Below are 26,276 nucleotides of genomic sequence, written 5' to 3'. Positions count from 1 at the left end.
CTAACACCAATGTGGACCAAAATATTAGAAATAGGCCAGGCATGGTGGCTCATGCCTGTAATCCCAACACTTTGGGAGGCCGAGGCGGGAGGAGTGCTTGACCAGACTGAGAAACATGGCAAAACTCTGTCTTTACCAAAAAAAATACAAAAATTAGCCAGGCATGGTGGTGCATGCCTGTAGTCCCAGCTATTTACAAGGCTGAGCCCAGGAGGTGGAGGTTGCAGTGGGGTAAGACTGCACCACTCCACTCCAGCCTGGATGACAGAGCGAGCCTCTGTCTTAAAAAAAAAAAAAAAAAAAAAAATTGGAAACATTAATGAAATAAAAATTAAAAAGTGGCGGTGTGTTTATAATGCCTAATAAAGAATACAACAGACAATAAATATATTTACTTATTGAACCTATCAGTAACAAAACAACCATGATTCAAGAAAACAGGTTTTGTGTGTGGGGGGGTTTTTTTTTTTTTGAGATGGAGTCTCGCTCTGTCACCCAGGCTGGAGTGCAGTGGCACCATCTCGGCTCACTGCAACCTCCGCCTCCCAGGTTCAAGTGATTCTCTTGCCTCAGCCTCCCGAGTAGCTGGGATTACAGGAGGCTGCCATCACGCCTGGCTAATTTTTGTATTTTTAAGTAGAGACGGAGTTTCGCCATCTTGGCCAGGCTGGTCTTGAACTCCTGACCTCGTGATCCACCTGCCTCGGCCTCCCAAAGTGCTGGGATTACAGGTGTGAGCCACCATGCCCAGCTGAAAACCGTTTTCCTAAGTCTAGCTTATAAAATATACTAATTGATTATCTTTAAATAACTAAGTTGGCCAGGCATGGTGCCTCACGCCTGTAATCCCAGCACTTTTGGAGGTCAAGGTGGGCACATCACCTGAGGTCAGGAGTTTGAGACTAGGCTGGCCAACACTGTGAAACCCCATATCTACTAAAAACACAAAAATTAGCCGGGCATGGTAGCACGTGCCTGCAGTCCCAGCTACTCAGGAGGCTGAGGCACTAGAATTGCTTGAACCCGGGAGGCAGAAATTGCAGTAAGCCGAGATTGCATCATTTCACTCCAGCCTGGGTGACCAGAGGGAAACTATATCTCAAAAAATTAAAAAAAAAAAATTAATTGAATAAATAAAATAAGTTATTTACAGCCTTTTTTTTTGGAACATTGAAAGGGCAACTAGCTACAAATGAGAGAAATTCAGTGCAATACAGGCCCTTTATACTATAAATATTTTACAGCAGTGAAACGTAAAGAGAGCGCAAAATGTTTTTGCCATTCAGTTCAGTCTACCTCTAACCTTTCCGACTCTTTTGTGAGAACTGATAATAAAACAGAGAATTTTGAAAAGAAAGAAAAAAAAGCTATTTGCCAAAAATATCTCCCTTGGAAATGCATTATCCTCAGAACAGCATCCAGCCCATGCCACAAGACTGAAGGCATTTTCTGCTCTAGCGCAGAACTACTTCTCCAGATCCCCTTCCTCAAGAAATGAAGTCTACTTATTTTTGTTCCACCTCAATAGTTGAGAGTACTGACCCCAGAAACTACAGGAATCAGCAGTATGCTAGAATCAAGATATGCACGAATTTTACCTATAAAATTATCTTCTTTTCTGTGTGAAGGGCAGAAATGAACAGTGTAACCTTTATCCATTCTCCCAGCTTGAGCCAAGATGATACTTCAGACACCCGTGGCAGGCAGCCTAGTTTGTTGTTGTTGTTGTTGTTAAGATCTTTGCAGGAAATCAGTTTACAACCTTGGGATGTTTTTAACTCTAACATGCGCAAAGTCATCTTAAATGTCTCACAAGCTTCCGCTTCAGGAAGTCATCTTTTTTAAACTTACTACCACTGAAAGGCTATTTCTCCTAAAACTGACTTTGCTTGATACAGCAGCGATACCTCATTCTTACACAATGACATTAAAACTTAGGGAAAAAGGAAATACAGCTATAAAGTAAATGACAAAAACTTGAACCCACACACACTAACAAAACTGGTTTAGGGCCTCATTTTAAGGATTCTCACCCTTCCTTTTGCCCAAGAATCTTCTAGGCGGTTTACTAAAAAAGTGGCTGTCCTTTTTCAGACCTCGATTCAGGATTCAGCTTCAGATACGTGGAAACTAGACATTCCTAAAGATTCTCACCACCACATAAAACTAAAACAAGCTCTTTACTGCTCAGGATTACAGGGCAATTTCCAGCAATTACAGTCATTCAGGGATTCTAGGACCTGCCTGAACTGCACGAGACCCTTACTACTTCACACTCTCCATCTCCCCATTGGCTTTTGACATTTTCCCTGCTCAAGGGCCAAGCAGTATTTGAAAGGCTGAGGGAAAGATCGAGACATTAACTTCTCATGGACAGCTCTAATTAAAAAAGAAAATGAAAAACTTGTAGAGTAAGAAATCCATTTTCCTTTAAAAACTACAATTTATGATTAGCTGAGCCTCCTCCCATCACCAAAAGTTGGCATTCCCTCCACTCTACCCAGACGTTCCCTGTTCATAACACTGTTTCATCACGTCATATTATCATTGTGACTTCTTCCTCCACTAGAGGACAAGAGCTGTTTTGTAATCAGCACCCACCACCATCTCTATTACATAGTAGGTGCTTTAAATATGTTCACTGGCTTTTATTCTTGCCCTGTCTCCCAATGGATAATTAATATTCTATTGGATCTGTCCTGGCATAGGTAAAAAGTTATCTTATAGAAATCAGTTACCGGGTTATAGATGATATTCTGTAGGTTGTTTAAGGACAACATCATTCTTTTCCAGCTTCTTGTCGATTGGAGTCTCTTCTGTGTATGACCTAAGATTTTAGGCAAGTTTCATTTAAAGGTTACCTGGATTGAAACTGAGGCACTGGCCCTGTGTAAAGTAAAAATAGAGGAAAAGAAAAGTAAGCATGTAGCATTTTTCTTCATATCCTATTTTAAAATTTAAATTATATATTATGTTACTGATATTTACCAAATAATAGAATATTATTACAATCAACGATCTGCCTCCCATTCTTACCAGTGTGCTCATATACTAAATAATTTTGGATTGTGAGTGTAGGAAATATTGACTTAAAAAATACATCAGTAGAAAATTTCTAACATGGAATTTATTATTAAAAATACTAAAATAGGCCAGGCATGGTGGCTCACACCTGTAATCCCAGCACTTTGGGAGGCCAAGGCGGGTGGATCACCTGAGGTTCAGGAGTTAGAGACCAGCCTGACCAATATGGTGAAATCCCATCCCTACTAAAAATACAAAAATTAGCCAGACGTAGTGGCATGCACCTGTAGTCCCAGCTACTCAGGAGGCTGAGACAGGAGAATTGCTTGAACCTGGGAGACGGAGGTTGAAGTGAGCCGAGATTGTGCCACTGCACTCCAGCCTGGGCAACAGAACGAGACTCCATCTCAAAAAAAAAAAAAAATTTAATTAATTAATGGTAAATACTAATCAAACAGTCCCGTACAATTACCAGAGGTATTCATTTAGATTTTCATTTCCATAAAATGAGAATTACAGTATTCACATCATTGGTTTGTTCTGAGGATTGAGTTAATAAAACAGCGAAAGAGTAAGCGCTATGTTAGCTATTATTATTGTGAATAGAAAGAATTGCTCTTCCTCCTCCAATTTAAACAAATCAAAGTAGGGAAAAATCCAATACTTTTAATACTATTAAGATACGGTTTTCTCTGTTGCTTAAAAAAATAATAATCACAGGGCAGGGGAGTGTTGGAAAGCATCAGCCACATTTTTTAAGATAAAAGCACTCATGGACACTACACTACATTTAATAGCTCCAGGAAAAACTCGACTTTAAGCAGAACTAAAGGGGAAATGAAACCAGAGCTTCCTGTATTTTACTTCCAGCAATTCTGTCATTATACTGCACACCAACAATACACACCGATCAAATCTATCACTTTTTCTTTATTAAGAAAAAAAACTGTATCCCTCTTGGTTTACCACCTAAATATAGCCCCATGTCATTAACTTAATTCGTTAGTCAAAACCTCAAAACTCTGGCTCCGTGACTCAATTCAGGAAGTAAGAACAAGAGCAAAAAGAATGGATGCCGAGTTGCCATACACATGTATAATAACAAGCCAGTGACCCAATTTAAGCCATCTGCTTGCATTAAATCACGCAACCCCCGAAGTATCCCCAGGGACAGGTCCCGCCAGCATGAACACTTCGTATGCATCACAAGCAGCCATCACTTAAGTTTCACGTACGGTCAAAGGAAGTCACATGACTTGCGCTTTGCAATGTTTAACACTGCAGTCAAATGACTCGGCATCCTAAAGAGCGTGTTAGAGGCAGGGAACGCAATGGAGGTCACTCCACTGTCACTACAAATTCCGGGAAGGAAACTTCCCCAGATTCCTCCACTTGGAGGTGGCGCTCGGCCTCAGGCTAGGAGGGAACAGGTGAGAAAGCAGCCCAGGTGGGGTGGGTTTGCAGCGAGGAGACACCCCAGGGCAAACAGCCTGACCCCAGCCAGGGATGTCCAAGAAAGGCCGCGACTCCTGATAATCCCTTATGCCCCGGAGCGCCTCGCCTGCAGAGGCAGCGTCCCCGCCACCCAGCCCCGGCTCTGCCGCGGTGAGGACCGGCGGGTCGGGGTGGACTGGACACTGTCCCACCCATCAAATGGTGATTTAGGAGCCGTGACATCCGAATGCCATCCTCCACTGGCGAGACCCTCAGAGCAGCCACGCCTCTAGCGACTGCCCCGCCACCCGAGGCCGGGGGTCGCGCGACTCACCCAAAGACTGGTGTTTCAGGCGCTCCACGGAGCAGGTTGTTTGTCAGCAGCTAAGTGCCGTCAGGGTTCCCGGCTCTGGCGTCCGTGGGCGGCTACGGGAAGCGACAGGAGTCAGTCCTCGTTCACTTCCCGGCTCGCGCGCCTCACTGCTGTGGTCTCCCCACCCTCCCCGCGCCCCGCCTTCTGTGTCTGGGGCGTCCCTGGCGGCTCTGCTGGGTTTTGGACAGGGACCCGCCGCTGATCGCCACCCAGCTCGGCCTCCTGCACAGCCTCTGGAGCCTTGGACCGCGACTGGCTTGCTGTGGGACGAGCACAGAGGGATAAGGACAAAGAATGTGTCCTGGGTGGATCTGGCTGCCTTTGCCCGGAAGGCGGAGTGGGGTGGGAGGTGGTAGGAAAATGGGAAGGAAAGAAAAGAAAGGTGGGCCGACGTCCACCTGGCTGTTCCAGGCCTCCAGGTCTAGGAGGGAGGGCGCTCGGGGCTGGGACTTTTCAGGACCAGGGTGGTCACCGCACAGGCCCCGCCTGCCTGGACCAAGCGCTGGCCTTCCCGGGGCGCCCAGGTCCACGGGGTCAACGCCAGGGTTTTCTCAGCTTCCTCGTCTGCCTCGGATCCAAGTCCAGACAGTGCCAGAAGAGACTTGGAGGCGCTGCTTTTTGACAGTACACACCTCTGTATGCAGGTGAAACGGTGGGGGAAGGGTTCAGTACGCTGGACTGTGCCCAGCCCAAGCTCCCCATCCGTTAGTGATAACTTGGACTCGCAGCCACTCCGCGTCACTCGCCAGTTATCCTGCGTGTGGGTGTTTTCTCCAAATTGGACACTTAGGGAACAGTTTAAGCAGTATGGAGCACAATTCTGTGCCTATTAGATGCTCTTAAATACCCGACTTCTCAGGGCCCTACACTGACTGATAGTTTGACCTATTGGCTGTAAACACACCAGCCAGAAATACAAATAAAGTTAAACAAAGTCATGTCAGCCACTTGGAATGGCTGGCTGCTTACTGTTTATTTTCTGTTAGGGACCTCAAAGTTCTCATCTTCTCTACTTGGCTTTTATCCACATTTGTTTGGAAAGATATATTTTAGTGTCATTAACGTGGGCTTTCTCCTCCCTGGCTTTTGTTTTCATTATTTTTTGTTTTAATTGAGGAATTCATTACAAGTCCCATAACTGGGAACTCATGTTCTGATTCACTGTTGCTTTTCTCTCCTCCTTACCCATTTTCCAAGCCTGATGCACTTCTCAAGATCCAATCTGAATAGGTGAATTTACCCTTGACATACACTGCCTTGGATTTATAGCTGTCTTTTGGTATGTGTTGTGTGTTTTATCTATCCAACTCGACTGTAGTTTGAGAAAAGGAACTTGTCTTATACAGTCTCCAGTGCATAGTGTAATGCTTTGCATAAAATAGATATCAATGTTAGGTTGAAATGTTAGATTATTGATAAAGTCAGGAGCAATTGAATATCTTCACAATTCTGCCTGAGTCTCCCCCCAGCCCCGCCACTTTGAGACAGGGTTTCCCTCAAGTGATCCTCCCACCTCAGCCCCAGGAGTAGCTGGGACTATAGACGCACACCACTATGCCCAGCTAATTTAAAAATTTTTTTTTGTAGAGACAGGGTCCACTGTGTTGCCCAGGCTGGTCTCAAACTCCTGGGCTCACAATATCTTCCTGCCTTGGCCTCCCACAATGCTGAAATTACAGGCATGAGACACCAAGCTGGGCCCTGAGTCAACCTTGTACTTCTTTACAAAGCTAAAATAAGTTGAAATAAGTACACATAAATGCTGTGTTTCTTTTGTAAGTCATATTTAGGTGCAAACGGGGCTGAGTGAAAGGGCCAGAGAGCAGAGTTAACAAAGAAAATCTGGATTAAAATGTTCATAAATCCTAAGAACTTATTCCTAGAAATATCTCCCTCATTTGGCACTGTTGTTCAATTAGCCCAGTGTGTTATTTTAAATAAGCAAATATTCACTGAATGCCTATCATGGCCAGGCACAGCAGTAAAGAATACTAGCATGCAAAGGACCTCATGGGCCCTTCTAGATAGAGTCCCACATCTCTTACATTATTACTGCAGTATCCTAATCGGTCTCCCTATATTTGCCCTTGCCCCTCTGCAATGTAGTCTCAACACAACAGCCAGAGAAGTCATGACAAAACATAATTCAGATCATGTTAATCCCTTACTAAAACCTACTTTTTTTTTTTTTTGAGGCAGTCTCACTCTGTTGCCCAGGTTGGAGTGGAGTACAGTGTTACATTCTCAGCTCACTGCAGCCTCTGCCTACCGTGTTCAAGTGATTCATGTGCCTCAGCCTCCTGAGTAGCTGGGACTACAGGTGCGCGCCACCATGCCCAGCTAAGTTTTGTATTTTTAGTAGAGATGAGGTTTCACCATGTTGCCCAGGCTAGTCTTGAACTCCTGACCTCAAGTGATCCGCCCGCCTCGGCCTCCTGTAACCTGGGATTGCAGGTGTGAGCCACTGCATCCGGCCAACCGTCTACTAATTTTTGCTCATTCTTTGAGTAAAGATCCAGTTCTTACACGAGCACTTCCTGATCTGCCCGAATCCTCACACACTGTGATTTCATCTCCTACTACTTTCCTTCTCACTTTTTCTGCAGCAGCCACAGCGACTTTGCTATTCTCCTAGCAGGCCTGTCACACTCCCATCCTAAAATCTTTACTCAATATTTCCTTTTCCCTTTTCAAGTCTACTCAAATGTCAGTTCTCAGTGGGGCCCTTCCTGACCACCAATATTTAAAATTGCAAACACTCTCCCAAAACACACTCATACACACTCCCTAGCAACTCTTCCTTGCTTTATTTCTGGCTAACATTTGTCATGCTAATATACTATATAAGGTGCCTTTTTATTTTATGTTACTTCACCCATCATAAGACTATAAACTCCATGAGGGCAAGGAGTTTTGATTGTTCTTGTTTCGAGGAAGCTTATACTCTAGTTGAGGACACATACAGTGATGTGTTTTAGAGAAGATTAAATTGGGAGCACCTGAGTGGCAACCTTAGTTGGGTGACAAGGAAAGTCTCTCAGAGGAGTCAAAGTTTAAGCTGCTGGTGAGTGAAAGAAAGGAAACAGCCATATGAAGATGGTGGGGAAGAGCATTCCAGCCTTAGCGAGCAGCTGCTGCAAAGTCCCTGAGGGTCTTGAGAATGCATTAAATGTGTTCAGGAAACAAAGGCCACCAACCAGTATGGCTGAAGCATGAGGGAAGAATGATATGACATCATGAGATTGGATGGCACCACCTAGGAGAGTAGTGGGAGAAAATCACCTCGGACAGCCCTGGGGAGATAAGACAACGCCAATAAATGAGACTGAGAAGGGACAACCAGGGGAATTTGCTGAGAGTGGTGTCACAGATGCCAAAGAAAGAGAAACAGCCTGTGTGCCAAGTGTGCTGAGAGGCCAAGGAGGACGGAAGTAAGCAATGGGCTTAGGAACATGGATGTCATTGCTGACTCTGACTCTGAAGTGTGTTGAGAAATGGGAGGTGAAGAACTGGTGGAAACCATGACTATAAAGATTTCAGAAAGGTTTGCTGTGAGGAGGAATGGAGAAGCAGCATTATAGCTGAGGAAGGAGTGGAGCAAAGGGCAGATTCAGGTTTTCTCCTGTTGTTTTTTTTTTTTTTTTAAAGAGAAGATACTACATTGGTGACTTTTAGACTTCTTTTTTTTCAAGTGACCTGCCATAAGAATTACATTTCCATTGAGACTTACTACACACATACTTAAAATTACGAAAACAAAAATTTTGACCAGGCACGTTGGCTCACTCCTGTAATCCCAGCACTTTGGGAAGCCGAGGCAGGTGGATCACTTGAGGTCAGGAGTTTGAGACCAGCCTGGCCAATATGGTGAAACCCTGTTTCTACTAAAAATACAATAATTAGCTGGGCCTTGTGGCGCATGCCTGTAATTTCAGCTACTCGGGAGGCTGAGGCATGAGAATCGCTTGAACCCAGAAGGCCGAGGTTGCAGTGAGCTGAGATTGTACCACTGTACTCCAGCCTGGGCAACAGAGTGAAACTGTGTCTAAAAAAAAAAAAAAAAAAAAAAAAAAATTGTACAAAACAATACTCCTGTTATGTGTAAAACAATCTACTTTTTCATTTTAAAAAAATGCTGCTTATAGTCCACTAAAATGTTTGCAAGCCCCACTAATGGGCTGTGAGCTGAAGTTTGAAGAACACTGGGTAGTATGTTGGTGTTAGCTCATACTGGCTTGTGACAGCCATTTTTGTACATAACTTCCATGTTGATACCTTGAAGTTATCCAGGGCAACTGCTAGAACTTAGGAACTTTTTCCCCCAAAGAACAAGATCTTAAACATTTACCAGCACGCTACTGACTTTACTCATGTGAATGATCCGTGGAGAGGAGAAACTGATCATGCAGGAGAGGGGATGGTGTTCCCAATAAAAGTTGCGAAAACCAGTTTCAGAACAATAGATATTGCCAATTATTTGCCACAACTGCCTGAGAGTTATGCAGATAAAAGGATCACTTCTGGTAGGATCAATTTCTTTTTCATCTATATTGTCCTCTTTCCTTGCCCAAGAAGCCACATTTATATGGTATAATATAGCCACACATTTAGAAATAGTCTTTTTTTTTTTTTGAGACAGAGTCTCACTCTATTACCCAGGCTGGAGTGTTGTGGTACAATAATGGCTCACTGCAGCAGTGACCTCCTGGGCTCAAGTGATCCTCCCACCTCAGCCTCCCAAGTAGCTGGGACTACAAGTGCACACCACCATGCCTGACTAATTTTTTTTTTTTTTTGGTAGTGATGGGGTCCCACTGTGTTGCCCAGGCTGGTCTTGAACTCCTGGGCTCAAGCAGTCCTCCTGCCTCAACCTCCTGAAGTGCTAGGATTACAGGCATGAGCCACCATACCCAGGCAAAATTAAGTCTTACAAGCAAAATGTTAAATTATATATATAGAGCCCACATTTTTTAAAAAACTAGTAAAAAAATCATGATTTTAGACATGAATTGTAAGCTCTTGCTACTTAGCAGGGTTAACTGATTAAACAGAAATAGATGCCATATTCTATCGATGTGAACCGTATTGTTTCAAGCTAAGGAATACTCTGGCAGTGATTTTGCTTATTGTTTTGTTGCTGTGTCACTTTTGTTAACATGATTGTAAAATTTTTGGACCCCCTCTCCAACCATCCATGAAATAGCGGTGCTAAGTGCTGGGAAAATGTGCTCCAACTCAATAATTTTGGAATACAAGTTAGATATGATAAAAGAGTATCAAGAACTTTAAAGAACTGCCTTGGTATGCTGTGAATTTAGAAACCAGAACTCCGTCACAGAACCTGTGACAATAATGATAAAAAAAAATATGTGAAAGCAAAAATTTGCCACAATGGATTATACATTTGTGAGCGCCGAGAACACATACCCTGCTATTCTCATGAGAAAATTAATCAAAATATGTAGGTTTTAAATTATGCAACATCTTCAGGAATGCATTCTTTACAAAACCACAATACTCACATCCTTATACATACATCTGCTTCCCCAGGAAGTGTCATGGACGGTGTCTTCTACCTCTTCCGATTATCTTCCCCAATCTAAAGGAATTCATTTCTCCTTTGAATCCTCTTGCTTTGACCTAATCTCCCCTACACCCCAATACTAGCCCCATCCATGAGCACCAAACTCTTTTTTTTCACCCTCCAGACCCCCTATGATCTGATTCACCAGGCTTACCTCCGAAGTTCTACAGGATCATGTCCCAAATCCAGTCTTTTCAGGTGGGAGAAACAAGCTTCTAGAACTATGGTTTTGTCATAAAATAAAAGAATCTTAGTGACGAGAGGGATCTTAGGAGGAGTATAAATTAATTCATCTCAATAGCTCAAAGGATGAGATAGCCTATTTTGTGAAATACATTTTTTGAATGGCTTACAGACTATGATGTTAGTACTAAAAAATGCTGAATTATTTGATATGAGGAAAATGTATCTGAAATTATGTAAAATGTAAAGACAAAATGATACTAAAAATGTATAAATAGTATACATGGGCCGGGCGCGGTGGCTTATGCCTGTAATCCCAGCACTTTGGGAGGCCGAGGCAGATGGATCACGAGGTCAGGAGTTCGAGACCAGCCTGGACAACATAGTGAAACCCTGTCTCTACTAAAAATACAAAAATTAGCCAGGAGCGGTGGCAGGCGCCTGTAGTCCCAGCTACTTTGGAGGCTGAGACAGGAGAATCGCTTGAACCTGGGAGGCGGAGATTGCAGTGAGCTGAGACTGCGCCACTGCCCTCCAGCCTAGGTGACAGAGCAAGCTCTGTAAAAAAAAAAAAAAAAAAAAAAAAAAAAAAACAGTAAAAAAAGTGCATATGTATATGCTGTATATATCCAGTAACAGTCAGACAGTAATTTACATACACATATTTAGCAAAGTGCAAAAGAATGATGTTTAATGTAGTGTTCATTGTTATCTTTTCTCTTGCAAAATTACTGAGATTCATTAAAAGGCTTCCCTCAGCAAGGCAGTCTCAATATTTAACCAACCCTTCCAGCGCATAGCTGATCTCTTCCAGCTTGTGTTTACACAGTTCATTGTAAAGCAACAAGTAAAACCTCAGGAATTTCTATGGCACGTTAGAGCAAGCAAAAAAATTGAGGTGATTTTTTTAAATTAAAAAAAAGCTGTTGAATCCAACCAAGTACTCTTCCAAAAATATTTTATCTGGGAGTATTTTAAAACATACACAAGAGGACCTCCTCTTTCGGCTTTGGAGCCCCCTCCCTCTGTCTCTGTACGGGGGAGCGTCTTCCTTCAGCCTTCTCTTTTCTTTCTTGCCTATTAGACTCTCTGCTCCTTAAAACCAAAACCAAAAACAAACAAAAAAACACACAAAAGTAGAGAGATGGTGTGATAAATACCTGTGCTTTCATCGCCCAGCTCCAGCAATTATCGACGTGGCCAATCTTGTTTCACCTACACCTCACCCACTTCCTCCCCACCACTGGTTCATTTTGAAGCAAATCTCAGACTTCATTTAATCTGTAAAAGCTTCAAAACTAATTGTTAGATTTAAAGGTTTAATAAGGTCCGGCTGGGCTTAATTTTTTGGCCAGAAGACTTTACAGGTGATATGTAGCTCCAATTGCAACTCATCAGGAGACAGAAAATATCTGGTTGTTTTTCTTTTTATGACATCAAAACCAGTTAGTGGTTTCAGATGTTGTTAGCCTGATCCATCTGTTACGAAGTTCCCATCAGTGTTTGATCAGATGATTTTAGCATCTAGCTATTGATGGTCATTGCCTAGATACGTTATTTCATTAGGAATTGAAAATGGTGATATTTCAATTCTATCATTTCTCCTGCATTTATTAGTAAGAATTCTTTTTCTCCTTTCTCTTTCTTTTTCTTTCTTTTTTCTTTCTTTCTTTCCTTCTTTCTTTCTTTTTCTCTTTCTTTCTCTTTCCTTTCTCTTTCTTCCTTTCTTCCTTTCTTTCCTTTCTCTCTCTCTCTCTCTTTCTTTGACAGGGTCTCACTCTGTCACCCAGGCTGGAGTGCAGTGGTGCGATCTTGGCTCACTGCAACCTGTGCCTCCCAGGCTCAAGCGATCCTCCCACCTCAGCCTCTCGAGTAGCTGGGACTACAGGTGCATGCCACCATGCCCGGCTAATTTTTGTATTTTTGTTAGAGATGGGGTTTTGTCATGTTACCCACGCTGGTCCTGAACTCCAGAGCTCAAGCCATCTGCCTTCCTCAGCCTCCCAGGGTGCTGGGATTACAGGCCTGAGCCATTGCGCCTGACCTAAGAATTATTTTATTAGGAAATAGTGCTTGATAAATAATGCTTCTTTTTGTATATTTGCCACAGTGTATCTTTAGATAGATTCCTAGAAGCTGCATTTTTTGTGTCAAAGGTTAAATGCCATGTAATTTTGCTAGATATGAGTCCAAGCACTTCTTGAGAATTCATTTAAATTCTGTCTCTGCTCTACCATAGGGGAAGGTCCGGGCTGTTCTGATGGGAAAGAGGTATTGGAGGTGAGGCCCAAGAGGCTGTAGTGGGAAACCTCGCACCTGAAATGACAGGAGAATCCAAATTCAGGGAGCGTGTGGGATCAGGAGCCACATGAAAAACCAAAGGCCAGGAGCCAGGAAGGAAATCTGGGGAATTTCAAATAGGGCCAAGAGCAGATATGGAAGCTTCCATCCAGGAACATAAATGTGGGAAAAATGAATACAAAAACAGGCTTGGAACAAATTGGGGAGGGTCCAAGGTCATTACCCCAAACAGCAGCTGCTCTTTTACAACTATTTTTCTTGGCTGGCTGGAACATAAGACAAAGGCACAGGGCTGTTTGCACATGTTTCTGTCACGCCGAGGGCAGCTAACTGAAGGAGGATGTGGTAGCTGAAACCTAGTCTGTACTTTAGCCACTGCCCCTCCACCCCCAAAAGGATAGGAGTGAAGGGATGAAGACCACCTTTTTCTAATTTGCACAAAGATGCATTTGGCCTAACAAAATGGGCAAGAATTATCCCAAATCTCCTTCCACTTTTGCAGTTATATTCATATCTTTCTTCATAATTTAGCTATACCATGGCACTTTTAAACTCGATCTGTAGTAGGAAGGTGAGGCTAAATGTTATGGTCCTTTGCATTTTGATCCGTAAGCAAACAGTTGTTGTTTATTTTAGAAAAATGGTTTCCAGGTGTAACTGCCAACTGCTGAAAACTTAGGGTTATGTGAGGTGAGGCATGTTGATGCTTTAGTTTATTTGGAGATGGGGGAAGCAGGAAAAACAGCAAACCATTGCAGTATCTGGAATTGATATGGATCTTTGTGTTTAAGACAGGGAACTGAAGCCTGGCTGTACCATACATACTTTAAACATTTATGCTTATGTAACTGCTAATCGAATTTTGAAAAACTATATAACTTTTCACACTTTTTACAAGGATGTTTAGGTTTAATGAGTTGAAAAGATATACATTCTAGAATATTGTAAATATGACATTTTAAATAAAAATTGTTACACCACTCTTTTAAATGTATTAAATGGGGCCGGATGCAGTGGCTCACACCTGTAATCCCAGCACTGTGGGAGGCTGAGGCAGGGAGATTGCTTGAGGCCAGGAGTTTGAAACCAGCCTGGACAACATAGTGAGATCCCACCTCTACAGAAAATTTTAAAATTAATGTATTAAATGAAATATTAGCACCAAAGTGATTTGATATTCACCATCATCCAATGGAAAAAAAGAAAAACACTGCCAAGCTTTTCTTTAAAAGAAAACCCCAAGGACAACCAGCAGAAGGATTTTACATCTTCATTTTACATTGCTCCTTTCTCTCTTGAAAATGTATTTCCATCCCATTCCCGCAAATAATTTTATCTAGTGTAATATATTTTTAACGCTTAAAAGCCTTTCGTTGATCATTCATTATGTCTCTGCAACAAAAATATTAATATAAATTAATAATTCTGTGGTCTTCAATTCCTACAGTCTTAAGGCTCTAAATGTTCAAGATTCTTTCAATTTAGTTATTTTTACAAGTCTTTTTATTGTTACCATGATCCATACACAATCAAAATAAATAAATTTTATCATTTTGTAAATCATTGTTAAACAAAATTTTATTGGAAAGTATCATTTTAATGAGAGAGGGTATTTCAGAGCCTTTGTTAAAGAAGGCTCTGCAGGCATCAGCTTGAATTTCCTTTACTTGGGAAGGTGGGTTTTTTATATGTCTCAGGGCACTGCATAATATTAAAATAAAGGATGGGCCGGTGCAGTGGCTCACACCTGTAATCCCAGCAATTTGGGAAGTCGAGGTGGAAAAGCGCTTGAGCCCAGGAGTTCGAGACCAGCCTGGGCAATACAGTGAGACCACCATCTCTACGAAAAATAAAATAACTAACTGGGTGTGGTGACACACGCCTCTAGTCCCAGCCATTCAGGAAGCTGAGGTGGAAGAATCACTTGAGCCGGGAGGCTGCAGTGAGCTGTCATCAGCCACCGAACTTCAGCCTGGGCGACAGAGTGAGATGCTGTCTCAAAAAATATGTATATACTATATATATATACACACACACATGCAAACACATATATATACACACACACATCTTATATATATACATCACATATACGTATTTGCGTACATATACACATATATAGACACACCCATATATACATATATAGACACACATATATGATGTATATATGTACACACACACGTGTATATATACACATATACACACATATACACATACACACATGTATATACACACTATATATGTTTACATAGCATATATGTATATATCATATATGCATACATATATATGATGTGTGTGCATGCATATGTAGGGTATGTATATATAGAATATGTATGGGGATATATATATATGATGGGGGGTGAAAGATTTTGGTAAAGCAGGAGAAGGGCAATTATGAAATGAGAAATAGAAAAAGAGCCAGCTTAATGCCTTAATTGCAGGGACTTTCTGTCTCAGACCAATGTTCAGAAAAGAGTACAAATGGAGGTTGATGGTCCCCACCTGAAGACCCCAGGCAGGGTCCTCACCTACCCCTAGGGTTGTGCATACCCCAACTGGAAGACCACTGGCCCATGTAATATTAGGTGAGATCCTTTATCTAGAAATGGAGAGTAATAAAACCCACCTTGCAGAGTTGTGAGGACTAAACAAGAGAATCTCTGTCCACAGCTTGCTTGTATTATGCTGTGTAAACACAGGGTAAATGGACATTGCTGTCTGAGTTGGGCATTTATTGTTATTGCTATTCTTATTGGTGGTAAACATGTTATGAATAATTAAGATAAGGGATGAGGAATATTTGTTGCAAGTTCTCAATGTACCTTTATTCTAACGGTAGAGTTGTAATTGTCTGTTTTCTTGTCTGTCTCTATTCCCGGACTTGTTGGCTCCTTGGGTTGGGATTGTCAGAGTTGTCATTGTATTCCCAGAAGTTAACAGAGGGCCTGACTACAGGAAGTGCTCAGTAAATGTTTGTTGACTGAATTAATGTGATTTCTCCTATTAGTGTCTATTTAACATTAAAACGAGAAACAGCAGTCATCTAAAAGAGGTAGAAGCCACTAGGCCAAACCTATCCCTTCAGAAAAATATTCCCCTTTTGACTGATCTGGTTCTTTTCAGAGACCCATACTAAGAGAAAGAACCAATTCTTGCCACTTATTTCTCTTTGTCAAAGGAAAATGGGTTTCATAATTGTTTTTGTTTGCACTACTGCCAACATGGGCCATTGCAAAGCTCAGGTTGAGTGTTTACATAGACGTAAGGTATACTTTAGCCTTGGGAGCACTATAAAGACATGTTGTTGTCTTGATAAAAAGAAAGAAAGGGCCAGGTACGGTGGCTCATGCCTGTAATCCCAGCACTTCGGGAGGCCTAGGCAGGTGGAGAATGAGGTCAGGAGATCAAGACCATCCTGGCCAACATGGTAAAACCCCGTCTCTAGAAAAATAAAAAAATTAGCTGGCGTGGTGGCACACACCTGTAGTCTCAGCTACTCAGGAGGCTGAGGCAGGAGAATTGCTTGAACCCGGAGGCGGAGGTTGCAGTGAGCCAAGATCGCACCACTGCATTCCAGCCTGGCGATAGTGCAAGACTCCATCAAAAAAAAAGAAGAAAGGGAGGAAAAAAGAAAGAAAGAGAGACAGAGAGAGAAAGAAAAGAAAGAAAAGAAAAGAAAAGGCTGGGCATGGTGGCTCATGCCTGTAGTCCCAGATACTCAGAAGGCTGAGGCAGGAGGATTACTTGAGCCGGGGAGGTAGAGGCTGCAGTGAACTATGATGACGTCACTGCACTTCGGCCTGGACGACAGCAAGACCCTATCTCAAAAAAAAAAAAAAGAAAGAAAGAAAATTAACAAGCAAAGGAAGAATTCTTTTTTAAAAGTTTGAGAGTTAATACTCTAATGCGTAACTATGCTTATCTTAAGTTTAGTTAGTCAAATTTTATCGAATCGAAACTGAAGCTGTTAGGTTTCTGCATGTGTAAAACCTGGCTCCTAAAGAACTCCAGATTTCCTTCCAGTTCTAAAATTAAGTTTATGCATCAATTTACGTTTATGCATAGCACATGCATGCCATAGTGGCCAGTTTTTACTGGATTGCCAGATTTTCTTTCTTTCTTTTTATTTTTGAGAAGAAGTCTTTAAAAAAAGTAAAAGAGAGAGAGATGAAGTCTTGCTCTGTCACCAGGCTGGAAGGCAGTGGCTCAGTCTCGGCTCACTGCAACCTCTATCTCCCAGATTCAAGCAATTCTCCTGCCTTAACCTCCCTAGTAGCTGGGATTACATGCGCCTGCCACCACGCCCAGCTAATTTTTGTATTTTTAGTTGAGAGGGGGTTGCACCACGTGGGTCAGGCTGGCCTCAAACTCCTGACCTCAAGTGATCCGCCTGCCTCGGCCTTCCAAAGTGCTGGGATTACAGGCACGAGCCACTATGCCCGACCAATTGCCAGATTTTCACCAGCTCTTTTTTTAATACAAATATTGTTTTCTCAATGATGTAACTAATGGTGGCACATAAAAAGTCAGAAAAATATTTTCTGTTGATTGAAATGTTTATTTCATCACAAATTTTTCTTACGTTCAGCCTAATTTTTTTAGGTTATTATTTTTCTGTGGGTGCCTAATTTTTCCCTAGTTATGAATAAAAATCTATATAAGAGAAAAAGTTTCACTTTAGCCTCCGTTTCACTGGAGCTAATTTGACGGATCTTGAAGAACAGATGCGTGATAGTGAAAGACTGATAGGACATTGTCTTCTGAGTTGAGCAAGTGCTTCCTGGTAGCAGAGATGAACTTTCAAATCTGCTTGATTAAGCAAGAAATCATCTTGGTTTGACAGCCACAAACACTCAGGAACCCTGTGCCCCACATGCGATGGAGCCCCACACGCGATGGGGCACAAGATTTTAATCTATGGAACAAATTCATCAAAAACCATTAATATATGGTCGGGCGCAGTGGCTCACACCTGTAATCCCAGCACTTTGGGAGGCCGAGGCAAGCGGATCACTTGCGGTCAGGAGTTCAAGACCACCCTGGCCAACATGGTGAAACCCCATCTCATCTCTACTAAAAAAAAAAAAAAAAAAATTAGCCGGGCATGGTGGCGCATGCTGGCAGTCCCAGCTACTCAGGAGGCTGAGGCAGGAGAATCGCTTGAACCCAGGAGGTGGAAGTTGCTGTGAGCTGAGATAGTGCCATTGCACTCCAACCTGGGTGACAGAGCAAGACTCCATCTCAAAAAAAAAAACACAAAAAAATTAGTATAATCAGGGAAGACGTCGATGGGCCAGATTAGTCTGTGATTTAGCTGTTGGGAAGAGTTTTGTAGGACCCTTGAGGGTGATTTTAGGAAAATGAGTCATGAAAAAAAATCACCCCAGTTAGCACTGGGGCTTGGCACTGGAGACCACCGTCTCTCTTGCCTCCTATTCTTCCTTATCCATCATTGAATGTTCAGCCAACACTTATTAACATGCCCATTCTGTAGGCACTGGGGACAGGGGTGTACAAAGGGATCTAACCACCACTCAGAATCAGAAACATTTAAGTTGGGAATATTGTCGAAACTCTGCCACCATGGGTTTAGACCAAAGAGCTACCCCTCCTGGTGGAGATTCCCAACTATGCAAAGGACCTTCAGGGAGAAGAGCCTGAAGGAGTAAAGGACGTGCCATCCCCAGATATGCCAGATGGGGGGTATTGATTATTTTGAGTTGAAAACACTGAAGAAATTGTAGTTTCAGGAAGGGCGGGCTGACCTGTCTCTTCCTGCATGCAGTAAGTGATAAAGGTTGCTCTGGGAGGCGTGCCCTGTCCACACCAGAGCGAGAAAATACTCCTTATCGTAGAGGCTACAATGGACCAGAGTAAACATGTTTAATGAACTAGCCCTTATCTTTCACCTGTTTTACACACCCTTCCTCATATATGTCCTAGTGATTCTCCTAGAAAATTTACTGCCTGGCTAGATTTTCTTTGTCCTATCATTTCTTCTCCAATTTTTTGGCTCTTTTTCTAAAAATGTATAAAAGCACCTTGCTTTGGCCACCTCTTCGGACTTTGCCCTTGTGCAGATTCCCAAGTACATATAAAAGCAATAAAATCTGTATACTTTTCTCTTGTTAATCTGCCTGGTGTCAATTTGATTTCTAGATCCAGCTGAAGAGCCCACTAAAGGGTGATCTCCAGCTCCGCTACAAGGCACTGGCCATAGATGATGAGGAAGCTGGGTTGTTTCTGGGAACAGAACCATCAGCTTGTGTAGGATCTGGAGTGAGGTTCTAAGCCCCCATTTGACTTTTCAGCACTTCAGGCAGTTAGTGTATTGGTTTAACTCTAGCAGTGATCAGGCGATTCTTGAGATCATGTATACAAAAGAGTAACTATGAAGCAAGACAGCCCCATTCCCTGTGAATATTCTTCAAGGAAAAATCCCAAAGATTTGAGAAACAAAATTGTGCATGGGCACTCCTGCAGTCATTTAAAGCTGGATTCATTTAGAAACTAAATGTTTTGAAAGAGGTGGAGGCAATGAACCTTATAACCTAATATAACCCCAAACCAAACACCCAAATGTCTTCTTCCTTTCAACTTCTGCCAACCCTCAGTGACAAACTATAGGAAGGGGGACATAAAATGTAATTTTATCCCAACAAAGATCAAAAAAGACAAAGATGGGCATTACATAATGGTAAAGGGAGCAATTCAACAAGAAGAGCTAACTCTCCTAAATACATATGCACCCAATACAGGAGCACCCAGATTCATAAAACAAGTTTTTAGAGACCTACACAGAGACTTAAACTTCCACACAATAATAGTGGGAGACTTGAATACCCCACTGTCAATATTAGACAGATTAACGAGACAGAAAATGAATAAGGATATTCAAGACTTGAGCTCAGCTCTGGATCAAGTGGACCTAATAGATATCTACAGAACTCTCCCCCCCGAAATCAACAGAATATGTATTCTTCTCAGCGTCACGTGGCACTTACTCTAAAATCGACCACATAATTGGAAATGAAACATTCCTCAGCAAATGCAAAAGAACTGAAATCGAAACAGTGTCTCAGACCACAGCACAATCAAATTAGAACTCAGTATTAAGAAACTCACTCAAAACCACATAACTACATGGCAATTGAACAACCTGCTCCTGAATGACTCCTGGGTAAATAATAATGAAATTAAGGTAGACATCAAGAAGTTCTTTGAAGCCAATGAGAACAAAGGCCTGCGGCCAGACATCAGGGTCCTTCTCTGTGTTAGTGCAGTGAGCACTTAATTTCACTGTTTGGACATTTTCCTTGGTTATCTGTCTGTGTAGCCACAGATATCAAAAGAACCTAAACTCCTCCAGCCACCTCCCCAGACCCTATCCCATGAAACTCACACTCTTCTTTCTAGGATGGCCCCCGCCCCACCACCCTGTGGCAAAGTAAAATGTTGCTTTAAAAGACAGAAGCTCCAAACCAGCTAATACTTAAAATCTGTGTACCATCCCATCTTCATTTGGGAATAAGTAGCTTTAAAGTTAAGTTACAAGACTGGGCCGGGCGCGAGGGCTCACGCCTGTAATCTCAGCACTTTGGGAGGCTGAGGCGGGTGGATCACGAGGTCAGAAGATCGAGACCATCCTGGCTAACACGGTGAAACCCCGTCTCTACTAAAAATACAAAAAAAATTAGCTGGGCATGGTGGCGGGCGCCTGTAGTCCCAGCTACTCGGGAGGCTGAGGCAGGAGAATGGCGTGAACCCGGGAGGCGGAGCTTGCAGTGAGCCGAGATGGCACCACTGCACTCCAGCCTGGGCAATTGAGCGAGACTGTCTCAAAAAGAAAAAAGATACTAGCCTGAGCAACATATTGAGACCCCTGTCTCTACAAAAGTAAAAATAAAAATAAAAAATTACTCGGGGTGGTGGCATGCGCCTGTAGTCCCAGCTACTCGGGAGGCTAAGGCAGGAGGATCACTTAAGCCTGAGAGGTCAAGGCTGCAGTGAGCTAGGACTGCACCGCTGCACTTCAGCATGGGTGACAGAGCAAGACCCTGTCTCTAAAAACAACAACAACCACAAAAACAAAACCTACACGCATTTGCTTGAGATCTTAGCCCTTTGGAGCTATTCAGGCAAAAATTAAAATTTTTGATTTTATAAGATTCCTAATGTCTGTCTCTGCTAGAATACAAAGCTGCATGGCTCATAAAATTAGTTAAGAAATCTGTCATCTTTAGGTATACTAATTTTGTCCCAAGCTAGTCCAATGTGTGTTCTACACATTTGTCACTTCTTTTGGGCTGACCTACATTGGCAAGATTATACAATGCATGTGTATGCATAGGAAAATAATGACCTCATCCTAAAATATAGTACTGTGATAAGCAGGCTTCACAGCTAGGGAGGTATTTATTTAAGTATCTAGCACAGCAGAACTACACTCTAGCTAATCTGTGAGGGAGGATATCATGTCCAAATGTTTAACATTCTTTCTGGCTATTTAATCTAATTTAGAATTCTTGGCTTTGGCAGCAGAGCACCCTGCCAAGAGATATAGCAAGCCCTAGCAAAACGCCTGGCTCCACTCTACCCACTAGTGTGGGCAGGAGGCTTCATGGCTTCCCTAAATGGCCCTAGATTCCTCTTCCACCTTCATTCCTCTCTGCCAACCTTGAAATGTAATGTTTTATTTCATCAAACCAAAATTCAGCACTGGGCCTGAGGATCTGCCCAATTTACACCTTGATTTCTGTCTGGCCCATACTTGCTCCTGCCTTTTTTTTTTTTTTTTTTAAGATGAAGTCTCGCTCTGTCACCAGGCTGGAGGGCAGTGGTGCAATCTCGGCTCACTGCAACCTCCACCTCCCGGGTTCAAGCAATTCTTCTGCCTCAGCCTCCCGAGTAGCTGGGATTACAGGCTCATGCCACATGCCCAGTTAATTTTCGTATTTTTAGTACAGACAGGGTTTCACCATGTTGGCCAGGATGGTCTCGATCTCTTGACCTCGTGATCCGCCCACCTTGGCCTCCCAAAGTGCTGGGATTACAGGCGTGAGCCACCACGCCCGGCCTGCTCCTGCCTTTAATTGAGCAAGGTGAGCTGTGGCCCCTCTGCTCATTAACATACTGCTTGCTTAGGGAATTTGGTCAGGAGCCACCAACGCAAAGACATTTAATTGCGATTGTACTTTCTTTTCTTTTTTTTTTTTTTTGAGACAGGGTCTCACTCTGTCATCCAGGCTGGAGTGCATCGATCATGTCTCACTGCAGCCTCATCCTCCTGGGCTCAGAGGATCCTTCCACCTCAGCCTCCCAAGTAGCTGGGAACACAAGCATGCACCAACCTGCCCGGCTAACGATTTTTATTTTTTGTAGAGATGGGGCCTCCCCATGTTACCCATGGTGGTCTCGAACTCCTGGGCTCAAGCGATCCCCTGCCTCGGCTTCCCAAAGTGCTGGGATTACAGGCATAAGCCACCGCACCAGGCATTGCAATTTCACATTTAATTGGATATACAATTCCTGTTCTGCTCATGAAACCTGAGCGAGCCTTTAGACATTTCTAACATTGGATAAATTACTCGTTTCATTCAACTAGAAAATCCAAGGGCTGCTTTCCATTGCAATGGAGTTTTTGTAGTTATTTGCTATTTTTAATAAAACCATTTTTACTATACATTTTTTAATACAAAGCCAATGCGTATTTTCACTATAGAAACAATGTAGAAACAAAAGAAACACTATTGAGTATCAATAGTCCCTCTCACCCAGGGCAACCACAAAGAATGAACATCTTTATATGTCATTAAAAATATTGTACTTTTGGCTGGGCATGGTGGCTCACACCTGTAATCCCAACACTTTGGGAGGCCAAGGCAGGCGGATCATAAAGTCAGGAGTTCGAGGCCAGCCTGGCCAACATGGGGAAACCCCGTCTCTACTAAAAATACAAAAATTAGCCAGGCGTGGTGGTGGGTGCCTGTAATCCCAGCTACTCGGGAGGCTGAGGCAGGAGAATCGCTTGAACCCGGGAGGTGGAGGTTGCAGTGAGCTGAGATCGAGCCATAGCTCTCCGGCCTGGGTGACAGAGCAACACTCTGTCTCAGAAAAAAAAAATATATATATATATATTAAAAATATTGTACTTTTTCTGTAACGTTATTTTTTTCTGTTTTTTTTTTTTTCTTTGAGACAGGGTCTTGCTCTGTCGCCCAGGCTGGAGTGCAGTGGTGCGATCTCAGTTCACTGCAGCCTTGACCTCCTGGGCTCAAGCCTCCCAAAGCGCTGGGATTATAGGCAGCTTTGGGAGCTGCCACCACACCCGACCTGCAACATTTTTAATGTGTAGAATTCTGTGAATGAATCCAACTTCGGCAAATTTTTTTTTCTTTTCTTTTTTTTAATCAAGGAAGTGGAGACAAGATGTGAAGGGGTGGCCTGCCCCTCCACACCTGTGGATATTTCTAGTCAGGTGGGACGAGAGACTGAGAAAATAAATAAAACACAGAGACAAAGTATAGAGAAACAACAGTGGGCCCAGGGAACCGGCGCTCAGCATACCAAGGACCTGCACCGGCACCATCTCTGAGTTCCCTCAGTTTTTATTGATTATTATCTTCGTTATTTCAGCAAAAAGGAATGTAGTAGGAGAGCAGGGTGATAATAAGGAGAAGGTCAGCAACGAACATGTGAGCAACAGAATCTACGTCATAATTAAGTTCAAGGGAAGTTACTATGACTGGACGTGCACGTAAGCCAGATTTATGTTTCTCTCCACCCAAACATCTCGGTGGAGTAAAGAATAACAAGGCAGCATTGCTGCAAACATGTCTCGCCTCCCGCCATAGGGCGGTTTTTCTCCTATCTCAGAATTGAACAAATGTACAATCGGGTTTTATACCAAGACATTCAGTTCCCAGGGGCAGGCAGGAGACAGTGGCCTTCCTCTATCTCAACTGCAAGAGGCTTTCCTCTTTGACTAATCCACCTCGGCACAGACCCTTTACAGGTGTTGGGCTGGGGGATGGTCAGGTCTTTCTCATCCCACGAGGCCATATTTCAGACTACCACATGGGGAGAAACCTTGGACAACACCCCGCTTTCCAGGGCAGAGGTCCCTGCGGCTTTCCACAGTGCCTTGTGCCCCTGGTTTATTGAGACTAGAGAATGGCGATGACTTTTACCAAGTATACTGCTTGCAAACATTTTGTTAACAAGGCACGTCCTGCACAGCCCTAGATCCCTTAAACCTTGATTTCATACAACATATATTTTTGTGAGCTCCAGGTTGGGTCAAAGTAGTTGGGTCAAAGTGGCTGGGGCAAAGCTACAAATTAACAACATCTCAGCAAAGCAATTGTTTAAAGTACAGGTCTTTTTCAAAATGGAGTCTCTTATGTCTTCTGTTTCTACATAGACACAGTAACAGTCTGATCTCTCTTTCTTTTCGCTACAAAGATGGGCATCGTTTTTTTTAAAGAACATCATCTTTTCTAGGTCTTACAAATATTTACTCTGAACTTTTCAATTCTTGTAATGTAGGAGTAGTCTGGTTTTAGAAAAATCATGTAATCATAGCAGTATTTCAAGGTCCCTCAAAGCATGTGGAAATGCCTTCCACAAAAGTACTACATACACCTTTAGTTGGTGAAGCTGTGGGTGATGAAAGATATGTGGCTTGTTCTTTAAAATTTATATGTTTCAGCGGCTCATTTGTAACTGCATCAATAAGGTAGCTTATATAACCATTTATTTTATTTTATTTTATTTTATTTTTTTGAGATTGTGAGATGGAGTTTTGCTCTTGTTGCCCAGGCTGGAGTGCAGTGGTGCCATCTCAGCTCACTGCAACCTCCACCTCCTGGGTTCAAGTGATTCTCCTGCCTCAGCCTCCTGAGTACCTGGTATTACAGGAATGCACCACCACGCCCGGCTAATTTTTTGCATTTTTAGTAGAGACGGAGGTTCACCATGTTGGCCAGGCTGGTCTCGAACTGCTGACCTCAGGTAATTCACCCACCTCAGCCTCCCAAAGTGCTGGGATTACAGGCATGAGCTACCGTGCCCAGCCTATATAATTGTTTTAAAGAAACAACTGTTTTCCTGTAATCCCAGCACTTTGGGAGGCAGAGGTGGGTGGATTACCTGATGTCAGGAGTTCGAGACCAGCCTGACCAACATGGACCAAACTCGGCAACAAGAGCAAAACTCTGTCTCAAACAAACAAACAAACAAAACAACAAACAAACACTGTTTTCTTCAAAACAATAGTATGAAATCAAGTAGCTGTTTAAGAACTTTTAGTATTTCAGACCATGGAACAAAAATTTGAGACCACGACCATGGGCAGTTCTAGTGTCCCTGTCATTCCAAGCGTCTTCTTCCTACGCGGTCCTGTTGCGTTTGGCATTTTGCGGTGCTCTCTCTAGGCTTTTGCTGAGTGCTATGGGAGTGTGGGGCCTGGGACAGAGACTAGCCCTTGGGGAGCTGGCCCAGGCATCCCAGGGGAGGGGGAAACCCCAGTCGAAACATAACATTCCTGTGACCTGGAGATCCTGCCATAAAGCAATCTAAAGTGACCTCCGGAAAGAGGAAGTGGGTGCGCGGAAGGATGTGAGCTGGCGAAGCAGCCTGCCTTCTCCGTGGGAAGCCAGCATTCACTGCTCAGCTTTTTTTCTTCCCCGAAGCTCCAAAGGCTGAGCTTGTTTGTTTGCTTTTCTCAATCTGCCACCTACGTTGCACCCACAATCCTCTGTGGAATGCAGTCGGTCCAGGGCTCCCTCCAGCTTTCTGCCCATCCCACACTCCCACCCAAGCCCCCCACCTCCACCCCTCAAGCATACAGATCCTCATCTTTTTATTTCTTCCTCCTTCCCTCCCTCTCTCCCTCCTTCATTCCCTCCCTCTGTCCCCCTTCTTTCTTTCTTCTTCCTTTCCTCCCCTCCCACCTTCCTTCCTTCCTTTCTCTCTTTCTTTTCTTTCTTCTTTTCTTTTCTTTCTTTCATTTCTTCTTTCTTTCCCTTTTTCTGTTTTTCTTTTCTTTTTTCTTTTTCTCTCCTTTCTTTCTCTTTCTCTTTCTTCTTTCTTTCTTCTTTCTTTTTTCACTCAGCTCACTCTAGGGAAACAGACAGGAAAAATAACAAGCAAAGGTGAAATTATAAACATTCCAGAAGTCTTACAGTGTCCTCATGACTGTCATTTCCAAACGTGTGCTCTTCACACACATTTGCCAGACTCCCGGGTTGGAATGCTGGTTTCACCACCTGCTAGTAACAGGGCCTTAGGCAAGCAACTTACTCTTTCTGTGCCTCAGTTTTCCCACCTCTAAAGTGGGGATAAGAAGAGGACTTACCTCATAAAGGTAAGGTCTAAATG

At 43.0% G+C, this 26,276-nt stretch overlaps 1 protein-coding gene and 1 long non-coding RNA gene across 11 annotated transcripts in view, besides 3 other annotated features; one reads left to right on the top strand and one right to left on the bottom strand.

Annotated features, from left to right (window-relative positions):
- The window catches only part of LGALS8 (galectin 8), a 34,768-nt gene extending 24,128 nt beyond the window's left edge, over window positions 1-10,640 (bottom strand). For 3 of the 10 annotated variants that reach the window (NM_201544.4, XM_011544188.4, XM_017001274.3), the window contains exons 1-2: window positions 4,793-4,872; window positions 2,739-2,886 (exon numbers count right to left, since the gene is read on the bottom strand). In NM_201544.4, the coding sequence (NP_963838.1) occupies window positions 2,739-2,783 (45 nt within the window). In that variant the 5' untranslated portion in view covers window positions 2,784-2,886; window positions 4,793-4,872. Of the gene's footprint in view, window positions 1-2,738; window positions 2,887-4,792; window positions 4,885-5,229; window positions 5,257-10,353; window positions 10,431-10,569 lie in introns of those variants that run through there. The other 7 variants (XM_047420409.1, XM_047420416.1, NM_006499.5 and 4 more) reach the window with 5 other exon arrangements.
- Window positions 4,346-5,785, top strand: LGALS8-AS1 (LGALS8 antisense RNA 1). Its single transcript, NR_034040.1, has one exon. It is a non-coding gene; the product is annotated as an LGALS8 antisense RNA 1 (long non-coding RNA).
- Window positions 4,530-4,579: a silencer, noted in NCBI's record as "silent region_2004". NCBI's record gives its function as "represses an Ori minimal core promoter by ATAC-STARR-seq in GM12878 lymphoblastoid cells {active_cell/tissue: GM12878}" and the evidence as "EXISTENCE:reporter gene assay evidence [ECO:0000049][PMID:35858748]".
- Window positions 12,375-12,553: a silencer, noted in NCBI's record as "fragment chr1:236679601-236679779 (GRCh37/hg19 assembly coordinates)". NCBI's record gives its function as "represses an EF-1alpha promoter that drives an FKBP-Casp9 reporter gene in an ReSE screen in K562 erythroleukemia cells {active_cell/tissue: K562}" and the evidence as "EXISTENCE:reporter gene assay evidence [ECO:0000049][PMID:32094911]".
- Window positions 25,391-25,685: an enhancer, noted in NCBI's record as "tiled region #2344; HepG2 Activating DNase matched - State 5:Enh, and K562 Activating DNase unmatched - State 1:Tss". NCBI's record gives its function as "activates a minimal TATA promoter and a strong SV40 promoter by Sharpr-MPRA in HepG2 and K562 cells {active_cell/tissue: HepG2 | K562}" and the evidence as "EXISTENCE:reporter gene assay evidence [ECO:0000049][PMID:27701403]".

This window comes from Homo sapiens, chromosome 1, assembly GCF_000001405.40.
Source record: "Homo sapiens chromosome 1, GRCh38.p14 Primary Assembly".
Classification (NCBI taxonomy): Eukaryota; Metazoa; Chordata; class Mammalia; order Primates; family Hominidae; genus Homo; species Homo sapiens.
This window is presented reverse-complemented; position numbering and strand designations above follow the sequence as displayed.